At 39.7% G+C, this 14,298-nt stretch overlaps 1 protein-coding gene across 50 annotated transcripts in view; it reads right to left on the reverse strand.

The window, feature by feature from the left end:
* HERC1 (HECT and RLD domain containing E3 ubiquitin protein ligase family member 1) overlaps positions 1-14,298 on the reverse strand; it is a 225,331-nt gene that overhangs the window by 20,251 nt on the left and 190,782 nt on the right. For all 50 annotated transcript variants that reach the window (XM_047433260.1, XM_047433247.1, XM_047433234.1 and 47 more), the window contains 11 exons: positions 14,089-14,190; positions 12,602-12,775; positions 11,284-11,577; positions 9,843-9,908; positions 9,543-9,668; positions 8,637-8,775; positions 7,093-7,274; positions 5,865-6,020; positions 4,980-5,102; positions 3,841-3,943; positions 1,598-1,767 (listed from right to left, as the gene is read on the reverse strand). In XM_047433260.1, coding sequence (XP_047289216.1) covers positions 1,598-1,767; positions 3,841-3,943; positions 4,980-5,102; positions 5,865-6,020; positions 7,093-7,274; positions 8,637-8,775; positions 9,543-9,668; positions 9,843-9,908; positions 11,284-11,577; positions 12,602-12,775; positions 14,089-14,190 — 1,635 coding nt within the window. The remainder of the gene's footprint in view (positions 1-1,597; positions 1,768-3,840; positions 3,944-4,979; positions 5,103-5,864; positions 6,021-7,092; positions 7,275-8,636; positions 8,776-9,542; positions 9,669-9,842; positions 9,909-11,283; positions 11,578-12,601; positions 12,776-14,088; positions 14,191-14,298) is intronic.

Here is a 14,298-nt window from a genome sequence, read left to right on the forward strand (position 1 = left end):
AGTCAATATGAAATTTTTCTTAGATGGTGGCAGACATAAATAAGTTAATAACTGTACCATGCATCAGCATCAATAAAACACATTCTTTTTTTTTTTTTTTGAGATGGAGTCTTGCTCTGTTGTCCAGGCTGGAGTGCAGTGGCACAATCTCAGCTCACTGCAAGCTCTGCCTCCCTGGTTCAAGCAATTTTCTGCCTCAGCCTCCCAAGTGGCTGAGATTACAGGTGCCCGCCACCACACCTGGCTAATTTTTGTATTTTTAGTAGAGATGGGGTTTCACCATCTTGGCCAGGCTGATCTTGAACTCCTGAGCTCAGGCAATCCACCCACCTTGGCCTCCCAAAGTGCTGGGATTACAGGTGTGAGCCACCACGCCCAGCCCCCAATAATAAAATACATTCTGATTTTCTTTATCATAACAGTCCTCACAGCTCCGACTGCTAAAAACTAAGCTGCAACAAGGCCATTCCAAATCTAGCAGATGAGTCTTAATGACTAAACACATCCTTGGATTCCACTTACGGAAAGGAAATGAATTCTTGGAAAGTTAAGTAATAACAGAATGATCTATGGAGCTTTTACTTAAAACACACTGATTTCTGTGTAACAATAAATAAACATATACAAAAACATATATGGAAGCAAATTCTAATCTCCAAACCTCTATACTTAGGGTCTGACTGGGACAGCCAGTGTTTCAGCAGCTAAGCAAATCAACATCATTAGGAAGGATCACGTCACGGCACTGCCAGGAAACTCCCAAAGGTGCCTTCAACATTAACTCTCCTCTCAGTAAGAGTGCAACCACAATGACGAGCAGCTTCCTTGTCTGTTAATGCAGTGATGAGGAGACCACAGGAGTCAAACTGAGGCTAATATGAATAATGCTAGACCTTGAACTTAAGGGTCCCTGGCACTAGGGGAAGCCAGACCAAGAGAGGATTTTTGGAGGAAGGGGAAGTGGCTCTGCATGTGGAGCTAAAAGTCACCGTCATAGCATCTCAGACATCTCACACCAAGGTCTCTCCCTCCTTCATAAATAGAGGAGGGTGAATACATCAACCTCTTGAGTCTCTTATCAGTATCTCAGAGGCTCAGTTTAATCCTATAAATAATGGGAGTGACAAGACTTCCTGCAAAAACCTAAAGATACTTTGTATGCCATCATATTATAAAATATAAAAATATTATTGTTTCATTCTTTTTCCCATATCAACTGATGTTCCCAGGACCTAATCTCACATCTTGCTGTAGTAATGATGATAATGTTGACAGTAGCAAATCCTTACATACTGCAGCTTACTACATGCCAGGCACTTAACAGTGTATGAGGACACACACATAAATACTCAGCCAATCCCCTTAATCACTTTGCTGTACTACCAGAATTGTTTTAAACCATGGTATAATACTTCTTTGGCCGCAGTCGAGAGAGAAAGACATAACTAGACTTACAAAATAATCAGTCCCATAGCAAAGTGATGTGCTTGGAGTATTGCAGTAGATTATGAATTTCCTAGCTTATCTCTTTCCCCAACTGAGGAACACTGTGAGATTTCTAGAATATGAGAAAGCAGCAAGCAATATAAATATTTACCTGCCCTTCTGAATTGCTCCCCCAGGCATACACATCTCCATTTGATGCCAAAGCAAGTGTGTGTTCAGCTCCAACTGCCACATCTTCTATGATTACTCCAGCCAGGACAGGGATTTGTTGCGGTCGATTGTGATTGCGAGCACGCCCCTCTGGCAAGCCTATCAGGCGATCTGAAAAAAACAAAACAAAAACATGTGGAAATGTTATGCACCACACAACACAGTGCTTTTATATTTTCTGATCAGTCATTTAGCTTATTATGGTGGAATGGCAATGACACATATAACTCAACTGAGGCTAAAGCTGCTATTCTGGAAAGGTACACCACGTTCTGAATAAATAAAAAGTGTGAAGCTGTTTCTCTGCAAAACATCACAGGCTCTTTATTCATAAAAATTTTTTAAAAAGTTGTATCTAAACTCGGTAACTTGTTTCAAAATAAGAGGCTTCTCCAATATCCACATCTTTGAAAGGATAGGGTCTGACTGACACAGTTCAGGCCCTCAAGTTTCTTATGTTCTTTTTTGAGACAGGGTCTCGCTCTGTCGCCCAGACTGGAGTACAGTGCAGTGGTGCGACCTCGGCTCACTGCAGCCTCAACCTGTCGGGTTTAAATGATCCTCCTACCTCAGCCTCCTGAGTAGCTTGGACCACAGGCACATGCCACCATGCCTGGCTAATTTTAAGTTTCTTATATTCTAAAATGAGAGATCATTCAACTTGTCTTGTCCTCAAACTTCCAACCAACCTCTCCCCTTACCTTGCCAAACTTCTAGAGGGTGCCAGCCAGCCCCTGATGCGCAAAGTCTGCTAGGTCCATTTGGCTTGCCCACCTTCTGCAGCCTAACTTCCACTGTCTCCACTGCACTGAAATTCTACTCTCAAAAGCCATGAGTGAGCTCCTAATTGCCTACTGCAGTGGCTTCTTTTCAGGCTCCAGCCCATGGGAACATCATGCAACCTTCTAATAATGTGGCCTCAGCTTTTCCTGCCTCTCAGAGACTGCACTGCCCTGGCTCATCAGTGACCTCTCTTCCCACTCCTTTCAAAGCCAGCTCTCCCAATTCTTCTTCTTTTTAATCTTTTTTTTTGAGATGAAGTTTCGCTCTTGTCGCCCAGGCTGGAATGCAATGGCACAATCTTGGCTCACTGCAACCTCTGCCTTCCAGGTTCAAGCAATTCTCCCTGCCTCAGCGTCCCGAGTAGCTGGGATTACAGGCGCCTGCCACCACGCTCGGCTAATTTTTGTCTGTTTAGTAGAGACGGCGTTTCGCCATGTTGGCCAGGCTGGTCTCAAACTCTTGACTTTAGGTGATCCACCCGCCTCGGCCTCCCAAAATGCTGGGATTACAGGTGTGAGCCACGGCGCCCGGCCCTCCCAAGTCTTATTCCTGTGCCCACCTGCCCTTTACATCACATGCCCCAGAGCTCTATTTTCTTCTTTTCTCATTCTATACTCTCTCTCTCTGGGTTTTTTAGATGATACGAATAAGGATTTAACTACTATCATTATGCAGCTAATGTCCTAAACCTACATCTTCATAATCAATCCTTCTGGAGTTCCAGATCTAAATTCTCAATAGCCTAGTGGACATTTCCACACATTTATTTAGGGCAAATGGGTCCATTCAACATAACTAAAACTAAATTCCTTACCCTTCCCCACAAACCAGCTCATGTCCTCAGTCAGAGGCATCGATGTTCTCCCACAACTAGAAACTTCAGTCATGGTTTACTTCCTCTTCCTCACACCTGTCTCACATATCCCTAAACAACTACCCTTGCCAAGAATCTCAGTCCTACTGTGAATGCCTGGGTTACGAACCTACTCAAGATTTGAACCCAGAGTGCCTATGAATTCCTCCAGTTCCTAAGATCTGCAGCCCCAGTCCCTAGAAGGGATGAAGAATGAGGCAGGACACAGAGGAGCTCTGATGGTCAAGGCAGTATTTGTGGCAGCATGTCAAGGGCAGTAGAAAAGAAGAGGGGACGGCCCTTGGCAGGGACTCTTCTAGCAAGAGTGCTGGCTCTGGCATAAGGGGTCTTAATGGGGAGGGGAGTTTGTCTTTATAATAAAGCACATGAAAGAGAAGTGGAAAATTATCTATACTGAAAGGAGGTCATAGTGACTACTCACCACCTAGAACAAAAAAAGGACTCAATTTAGAGCACATTCTGTAACACTGGAAGGCCAATGTTTATAATGATGTGTACCCAAGCAAATAAGCTGAAAAATGTCTTACCTTGACCAAAGGTATACACATGACCATCTTTGGTCAAAGCAACAGAAAACTGAGTTCCACAAGCAACCTTTTTTATTCCAATTCCACAAAGGACGTCAATTTTCTACAAAATAAAAGTGTAAGGCACACAACTTTAAGAAGAAAAAAAATCACTCTTGAATTTGCCTAATGGCATGTATCAAGAACTACCTTCCAACAAAAATACTAATTGTCACTTACCTGTTCGACCCAAATCCAAACCTGAAATGTTATTTTCTCCTACTGTTCTGCAAACTAACTGAATTTCAGGGAGGGAGTGTGCAGGGGCAGAGGCAGTTTGACTAAAGTCCCCAGGGCCCTGTGTGAAGCAGAAGCATTCCTCTGGGTAATAGAGACCAGGGAGAATTCCAGGACCTTTTAAAGAACACTAGAAGACCATGTTAGTTTAACATTTTAGCTTTTATGGGCGACAATAACTGCTTTATATGTTCCCCAGAGTCAGTTTTCCTGCCTCTCTGCATACGTAGCTTAATATTCACTAGTCTAGCTATCAGGATGTCACAGACTATAAATGGTGGTGAATCTGAATATAAGCTGAAGCTTTGTAAATCACACTGCTTGTGAAATACGTCAGGAAAACCCACATAAAACAATCACATAGAAGGACTTCTGTAGAGTCAAGAAATCTTCTATAGTATGAATAACAGCTTCTAATTTCTTTCTTCATGGACTCAGATTTCCTTTGTATTGTTTTCTTAAAAGGAGACGTGTACCTGTGTTAATTCAGTGGTAATAATAAGCAGAAATGGCAGCTGCATGCAGAGGGTTACAAAGGATTACTCATAGTTCCTTCCATGACATCCTGGAGATATGTTTCTAACTATTTCTTCCCTACATCAGAGGTCCTACAGTGTGAAACCCATTTTTGGAGACAGAAGCTTATCCTTGCAGAATTTTAAATCCAGTTTAGCTGGATTAATAGCTTATTTAAAATCAAGACCTAGCATGTGGGCATTCAAGAATGCACAACAGAAGCTTCTAAACTTCATTATGAACTACCAAAAGTACTAAAGGTAAATTATTTCCAACTAATAATAACTACTGACATAGATGAAAACTATTTATGTTGTCTGAAAACCTAGACTCAAGGCAGTACTGACCTGAGGTGAAGATTTTGCAGTGGAATTTCCTAAGCCTAGTTTTCCATAGTCTCCATCTCCAAAAGCCCACACCATGGAACCATCTGCTGACACTGCCAAAGTGTGGTTTAATCCACAGGCCACCTAAAGAAATAACAGCATTCCGTAAGGCAAATCACAAGACCTAAAACACACTCCCCCGTTTCTGGGACCCTTTTTCTCTACTTCAGTGAAAAACTTGGCTATGTTTCCAAATATCTACAATGGTTTCAGAGCATACTACAAATGTTAACCAAAGTAAGTCAACAAGAAATAATTCTTAATGTCCATATATAACTTTTTTCTTCAAAGTGAAATCCTTCAAATGTCTGTGGCTAAACCATAATCAGTATGAAAGATAGAGGAAAAGTATACATGACCCAAAAATATTCATTCATATCAAAAAGTATCTAAGGAATGATATAGAAAAAGCCAAAAATATTTCCTTGTTAAAGGACACTCTTGATGTATACAAGACAGAGATAATTACTACTTAGGAGCAGTAGCTACCAGTGATGTTGCAATTCAGCCATACAACTCAAGGATACCAGACAGGAGCTACTAGTATCTGTATTTTTTAAGGGTTTAATAGCAAGTGGTATTAGTATGTTATGGAGGGGGCTTTAAAAATATTCACGTCCTGAAATAAGGGTTACATTTGTTGGTTTGTCACATAAACAAACTTAAATTGACTTAAAATATGAATTTCACATTGGGAAACAGTTAAAATTATCAATTAGACCATAGCAAAATGTACATGAGGTTAGGTACAACTGGTGATCCTGATCTTCCTGAGGGTGTCTAAGCGAACACAGAAGAAATGAGAAACAATGATCAGCTAGAATATCTTATTGATTTATTCCATGCCTGTCCAATCTGATATCCCTCCAGTGCAGTCACTCTCTCTGGAAGTTTTTTGTTAGAGGTATTTCCAAGACCCAGACGACCATAGTCACCATTCCCAAAGGTGAACAGTTTGCCATCTGAAGTGACCACTGCTGAGTGCTTGAAGCCACAAGACATCTAAGACAGAACCAAGGAGAAAGAAAATTTTTAAGAAGGGAAACTAAGAAAAAAGTAAATCTGCCATTTTTGGTATTAATATAGCAATAAACTTTACATAAACTTCACTGAAAACTGGATCTTCAAAGACCAATGCTTTTAAAAATTTTTTTTTTTAATTTTTTTTTAAATTTTAAAGAGACAGTGTCTTGCTCTGTCACCTAGGCTGGAGTGCAGTGGTGTGATCACAGCTCACTGCAGCCCCAAACTCCTGGGCTCAAGCAATCCTCCCACCTCAGCCTCCCAAGTAGCTGGGACTACAGGCATGTGCTACCACACCTGGCTATTTATTTCTATTTTTTGTAGAGACAGGGTCTTGCTATGTTGTCTAGGCTGGTCTCAAACTCCTGGCCTCAAGCAATCCTCTTGCCTTGGCCTCCCAAAGTGTTAGGATTACAGGCATAAGCCACTGCATCTGGCCAACTGGTACATTTATCTGCCCAAGTTGCTCTCCTGCTCTCCCAAGTCTGATCTGTCTCAACAGCCTCAGGAAGCCCAAGCTGAACAGCATACCCTGGAGTAACTACTGCTACTCTTCAGCTGTGTACACATGACCTAGACTAAATGAGATAATAAATGGGGAAATTGTTTGTAAACTATAAGGTGCTATACAATCTTACAATATGATTTTAGAACACTATTTTCCAGAAAATGCATGTTAACTTAGCTTTTGTAACATAAATGATAGGTTAAAAGCAAAGTTTTCCTTTTATCTGTGTATTAAGAACTGTGTGGCAGAAGTTAAACCACACAATATTCCTTCCAAGGGCGTGCAGCACCCTAGTCTGGGCCAACCAGCTGGCTCACGAAAAAGACCATTCTAACCAATACTAACAAGACCAATACTAACACCAAAGCCTATTCAAACTTCTGACAAGCTCAAGAATGAATCTGAACATCCAAAACCAATGGATCTCTTATAATTACTGTGTAATATATTTTTACTATATTTTCTGTTACCTAATTTTAAGAAACCTATTCAACAACTAGTATATTTACAATGAAAGGCAAACTTATCCATTTCCTGCCTGACCTGCACCACTTCTTCTCCTTGTAAGGCCTCGATCTGCCTGGGCCGCCGCTGCCTGTCGCTGTTCCCATGGCCAAGTTTACCATAGTCACCATCTCCCCAGCTAAAGACCTCACCACTTTCAGTTAGGGCCATAGAGTGCCCATCAGAACCACAGGAAGTCACCAGCTGGGTCACCACAAAGCCTGGAACAGAACAGAAACCCAACAGGAGTCACTGGATGTTAAAACTCTCCTCTTTACTTGCAGCTGCTACTGAATACCCTCAATCAAAAACCACCGAATTGGTACTATGAAAATAAGAATAATTTCATTAGTTTTTTTTTTTTTTTTAGATGGAGTCTCACTCTGTCATCCAGGCTGGAGTGCAGTGGTGTGATCTCGGCTCACTGCAACCTCCACCTCCCCGGTTCAAGTGATTCTCTTGCCTCAGCCTCCTGAGTAGCTGGGATTACAGGCATGTGCCACCATATCTGGCTAATTTTTGTATTTTTAACAGAGACAGGGTTTTACCATGCTGGCCAGGCTGGTCATGAACTCCTGACCTCAAGTGATCCGCCCACCTCGGCCTCCCAAAGCGCTGGGTTTACAGGCATGAGCCACAGTAACCGGCCTAATTTCTTTAGTTTTAAATTGAATTTGTAGCCATAACCTAGCAAAACTGCGAATAGTCACCTAAAATAATGGTGATGACAAGGAAAACGAGGATGACAGCAATAGTTACAGTCATTAATGACTGGCTATGCTCTAGCCACTCCTATAAATGCTTTACATGGATTATCTCATTTTCTACTTTCACATAGCACCTATGAAACAGATACTAACATCCCATTTTTACAAGTGGGAAAACTGAGTCACAAAGAGGTCTCGAAGCTTGTGCAATGTCCCAGAGCCAAGGACCAGTAGAACCCATAGGAACCCAGCACACATTCTCATCTTTACTGCTGTGCTCTTCACACTCAGATCACAATGAAAAGAACCTGAGCTTCTAGGAACTTGTTTTGAACTCATAGTTACTTGTATGCTTTTACCTAAAAAAACCGTCGGTGCTCTCTTTGTAGGCTTCAGAGTCATTATGAGTTCAGTTAATGAGCAAGCCGGGGGCTTGTACAGTGGTTTCTCCAAAGGTGTTCTCTCTCCAAGTCACAAAGAACTCTGATGAAGATGTCCTTTAAAGTCTTTAGCACATTTGCAGATTTCCATATAAACTGATTTTTAATTTTAATGAAATACATGCATGATTGCTACTGCTATTAACATCTGCCTACTTACACTTTTGCAATTTTTAAGCATTTGTTTACAATCTTCAGTGGGTCTCAAAAAGTGTTATTTATATTTCACTGAATTCTAGCATTGCTATAAGTAACCTGCAATATAGCTTAAAATATGGAAATTAAGGCTGCACACATGCCTAAATAAGGATTTAAATGTAAGTGAAAACCTGATATGATTTTATCTAGCAAAGGTTTGAGAAGGGCAAAGGTTTGTACGACCAAACCTACATTAGGCCTTAGGTTCTAACCATCTTTTTATTAAGGACAATTTTACCTTGTAAGGCTGAAATAACTGTCAGCACATGAAGGTCATCTGAATTTCCTTGTCCTAATCTGCCATAACTTCCTTCCCCACAAGCCAACACTGTGCCATTGGCCTGGATGACAAAGGTACAATTCTGACCACAAATGACCTAGTATAAAAACACAGAATTAAATATTTTATTCTTTATTATATTGCTTTAACATGCAAGCACTTGAAATGATTCCACGTATACATAGAATGCTTTTATAATTGTTTTATCCTTTTACTGAAAGGGAAGAGTTGATATAACTATGCAGTCCCGTAACTCCTTGATGACTATAAAACTGCTTATTTAACCAAGAGATGTATGAGATTCATCCATTTAAAATAGTTTAGAACAACAAAATGGATGAAAGAAAAAGGAAGGGGTGATGGGGAAACATTAAAGACTGGGCTAGAAAGAAGCAGAAACTCGTACATAAGAATGAGTCATGCAATCTGGACTAGCTGAGGTAAAGAAGAGCAAAAGAGAAAGCAGAGGCCTCGAGAAGGGTTTGGCGCTATATCGTACCAGGATTATTAGAAAAGGGGAGTGGTCGATAAAATCTGGCTAAAGATCCTAGGAAGTTTTTAGCCCCAAAGAGAAAATCACTAATTAGGAGTATCTAAACTGCTAGAAATACATACTGGGCAGGCCTAACACATCATGATGTTAGTTCATTAAACTTGAAAGAAAAATTTAGAAATTTGTTAACTTCTTAAGTCTGATAAAAACCACACCAAGTTTTTATTTGAAAGCTATATATCATGACTTTCTTTAATGATTCCTCATAATAGATTATGAAATGGACAAGCTTTATCCCACAATAAGACAAGCAAAAGAATTAGAATTTTCAGTTCCCATGTTTCTTTTCTATTTTTTATCCTGTTAGTTACCTGTTGGGCCTGTGAGAATGAGGGAGCTGCTGCAGGTACCATTACATTTCTTCCAGCTTCTGCCAGCTGTCCATGCCTACCAGCACCCCATAAGTAGACATCACATTTACCTCCCAGGTGCCAGTCCTAGAAAACCACAATCATCTCAAAATTAGAGTCATCCATTCACTCAAACAGCCATGTACTACGTACCAAGTGTGTGCCAGCCTGTATGGGAGACACCAGGGCACAAACACACAAGCATTTAGAATCAAAACATTGACTGAGAACCATCATACAGTTATCTTCATCTTTACTGACCTCAGGTCTGGAAGTTGCCCAAGACATAATTTGTTCATCCATGCCGTTAATCCATTTACTGTTATCCTGAAAAACAGGGGGTACATAATGATCAATTCTGCTTAGGCAAGATGCACCTGCTCTTAACCACAAAGTCCTCTTCTAATCATTAAGTCTTATTTCCAAAAAAGAATATGGTAATATTATGATAAATTAAGAGCAGTTTTATAATTATGTCAAACTTGATTTTATGCACTGTCAGTATTTCCCTTTATTATAAACACTTTCACTATCACTATCACTATGGCATTGGTGATTCAAAGCTAGCCATGTGTTTTCTGAACACCCACAGGTACAAGGTCATGTGGAGGACCCCACACCCCTGTAAACTCTTTGTGTAGCTGTGGGCAAATTACTTCATCTTTCTGGGCTTCAGCTTCCTCATCTACAAAATTACAGAGTTGGGCCAAATGGGCTTAGAAGGACATTTTCTGATTAAAATATTGTATACTTTTGTGCCACGTGACATTTCAGTCAACAACAAACTGCATGTGTGAAGATGGTCTCTTAAGATTATAAAACCTTATTTTTATTATATCTTCTATGTTTACATACACAAATACTTATCACTGTTACAAATGCCTAGAGCATTGAATACAGTCATATTCTGTACAGGTTTGTAGCCTAGGAGTAATCAGACTATACCGTATAGTCTTGTTGCAAGTAGGCTGTATCATCTAGGTTTGTGTAAGTACTATACACTCTATGATATTCCCAGCGTCAAGATTGCCTAACAATGCATTTCTCAGAACATATCCCCATCATTAAGTGATGCATAGCTACAGTTACATAATTTTACTTAATTTATATTTGTCTGTTTCATATTGTATCAATGTTTATCCAAATGTTTGTATACATAAATCTTAAGTATACAAAGAGGTTGTTAGATCATGTGCTGTCCTGTAGTCTAAACAGGTATTTTATCTATGTCACAGTTTCTAGAGTAGACACTCTCAAATACAAACAGAATGAAATGACAATTAGAATGCTCTTCTATATTTTATTTGATGCTAATTAAAGACATGATTGAAATGCCAAATAAATTAGAATCTATATGTGGCATATAACCCACAAGATGACCAGGAAAAGATGCTAAGATATATACAACTAAAGCACTAACAAAGTACCTATGGACAAAAGAAAATGAGAAAATATGGGACTATGTCATTGAGAGGTGGCAGGTTTACAAGAGTTCAACAGTGCTTACATTATCAATTCCTGTCACTATGGAGGCCTGCCATCAGATTGAAAGTGACTATCTGAAAGAAAAATATTTTCCATTTCTCTTAAGGGTATCCTTCTAGCCATGCATACCAGCAAAGACTTATTAGGGGTCTGCTACATGCCCAATACCCATGATAAAATCTCAGCTGCAAATAATAGCAGCTCACAGTACATTTACCATTAGAAATACAAGTTCATCCTCTGGAACAGGTTCTAGATCTGGAACGGTAAAAGATTCTGGAAACTGGGCTCCATTGGTCAGGGCTTCGGCAGCTTTTATAGTGGTTGAGAAACATTCTAACCAGGCCCATTCATTTGGATTCCAGGATGCAGGGTCAGGGAGACAGTTCTGGTGGTGTGGTGGCACTGGAGGGTTACACAACAGCTGATCCAGATGAAGTCCCACAGCAAGGGAAGCCAAGCATTGCATATAGGGGCTATGAACAAGTTGGTCACCACAAACCACATGAGGCTAAAACAAAATACAAGGATATAATATGTCAAAGAGTTTGTGCCAAATATTCTAAATTAACCTACCGTAGTCTGAAAGTCTGGAATCATATTTTTCAAGTTTACTGTTTAAGCTTTTTGCTAGGAAATAATTTTAGATTTAGAGTGAGTTGTACAGATAGTACCGAGGATTTCTGTATACCCTTCGCCCAACTTTATCCAATGTTAACATCTTATACAACCCTGGCACATTTATCAAAACTAACAAACTAACATTGGTACAATACTAACTAAACCACAGAACTTTATTTGGTTTTCCTCAGTTTTCCCATTAATACTCCTTTTCTGCTCCAGGATCCAATCTAAGCTATCACACTGCATATAGTACATTTTCATCATGGTTTTTCTTGATTGGAAAAAAAAGCAGGTAACTATTTAACCACAGAGATCTGCTCTTCTCACTTTCCTCCTTTATAAGAGAATCCTGGTAGCCATCAAAGGAAAAGCAAAAAGCTGGAAGACAGGCTACTTTAGGATCACTGTCTGGACAAGTTCAAACGCTGCAATTCCTCATTCCAGTATTTAATGACCCTACTCAATTCAACATAGCTCTTCCACTAAATTTTCCACAAAGATTTATCTAATAAGTGGAGACGATATTCAGTCTGATACCCGCATCCATCCCTATCCCTCAACTTTGGAATGGCCAAGCCATATAAAAATAGATATATGTGTGGGTCAGAAAAGGGAAGATATTCTGCTGCATAGGTATTTTAAGAAGCTTTGGAGTGAATAAATAATCTGAAAAGCAGTAATACAAACTTGGTGTTTGTTTCTTTATTTTACTCTGGTGAAAATAAAGCAAGAATAGGCTTAGGGTTGCTGAACAACTCTTTTAGGCATGACTTACCTTCATTTGATTCTGCCCAAATAGCCCCACTTATTATCCTCAGACCTCATGCTTTTAAGGGATAAGTTCAAGGCTATAATCACATTCCAAAGCACCAGGTATCTGTGTATCTCTAGGAGTGAGTGTAATGAGTTACCTTTTCATAGGCATACTGCTCCTGAAGCATCATGGGGAGCCGCTCCAAAAATGCTCTCATGCAGGGAGCCATGTTCAATCCCAGAACACCCTGCTGTTTCAATGCTGTCCTACAGGTTGCCAAAACATGATTGGCAGCTGCCCATTCTGCTGTACAATTCACGACCAAAACATCCTGGTTGAAAATAAATCATGCCACATAATAAATTTGTTTAAATAAAAAATAATGCTATCACCATTTAATCTGCGAAATTCCTTCTAGTAACTGGGACATCTTTGCTTTTTGGATATTTTATATCCAAAAAGGCTATGCTTTTAATGCCTATGGAACTTCAAAATATCCTAAATTTTGTCTAAGTAAAAAATAATGAGAAATAATAAAATTTGTGAACTACCTCTGATTAGCTGGTACTTTTTAAGGAAAAAATGTCAATAATTAACTATTTCTTCAGAACCTGCAGAATAAGGCATCTACTATATTTCAAAAGTCATGTCTGACATGACTACAAGGATAGCTGCAAAAGAGGTAGCACTGCTTTAACTCTGGCTCTGTGGTTTATTCTACACAGGCCACTACTGCCTAGGGTCTGATTCTACATTTTACTTGCAGTAGAACCTTTCATGAAGGTTTACAGCTTATTTTAACATCATTTAACCATATAAAATGTAAATCAAATCAGCACATCGGCTCTAATCTTTAAGGGTATGAAAAATAATACTGTAGGGAATAATGTTATATCATAGAATTACTTCACAGCAGGGGACCAGCAGTTTTACTAGAATATTAAATTTGAAAGCCAAGATATATTTTGTATACTTAGTTAAATGTCTTTGCAATGCTTCTCCTTTTCAAGGAAAAATTGTTTGAGAGAGTTTTTTTTTCCTTTGGGATGGGCTCTCACTCTGTCACCCAGGTTGGAGTACAATGGCGCAGTCTCGGCTCACTGCAACCTCTGCCTCCTGGGTTCAACCAATTCTCCCGCCTCAGCCTTCCAAGTAGCTGAGACTATAGGCATGTGCCACCACGCCTGGCTAATTTTTGTATTTTTAGTAGAGATGGGGTTTCACCATGTTGGCCAAGCTGGTCTTGAACTCAGGACCTTGAGCAATCTGCCCACCTCAGCCTCCCCAAAGTGCTGGGATTACAGGCATGAGCCACTGCACCTGGCCTTGAGATAGTTTAGTGCTACTGTCAAAAATCATGGCAGAAAGTCAAAATCTACTTTATCACTTCCAATGGAAATGAAATTGTTCAATATCTAAGCACTGTCACCAAAGTATGGGGTGTAGTAGAAAAAACACTAGACTATAAATCAGGAGACTTAGGTTCTAATTCTCCTTCTGCTACTAAATAGTTGCACTGTTTTGGACAAGTAGTAATCCCTCTGGACATCAGGTTTCTCCTCCATAAAGTGGGGTGGTTAGACTATGATTTCTAAAGTTCCTTACAAGCTTACACCCTATCATTTGATATAACTACAATATTACCTTTGATCTATTTGAGCAAGCAGCTACTCCAACTTCTGGAATCCATACTGTGGTCTGAATAGCTCCAGAGCCTATCACAACAGTTTGCAAGACAGAGCCATCCTAAAATGAGATATATTTACCAATACACACCATTGAACTGTAGGTATAATTTACATTTAAATTTCTATTTCACATTGACAAAAACATATTCTAAAGTCTACATTTTAG

The sequence above is a fragment of the Homo sapiens genome, chromosome 15 (assembly GCF_000001405.40).
Source record: "Homo sapiens chromosome 15, GRCh38.p14 Primary Assembly".
In the NCBI taxonomy this organism is placed as follows: domain Eukaryota; kingdom Metazoa; phylum Chordata; class Mammalia; order Primates; family Hominidae; genus Homo; species Homo sapiens.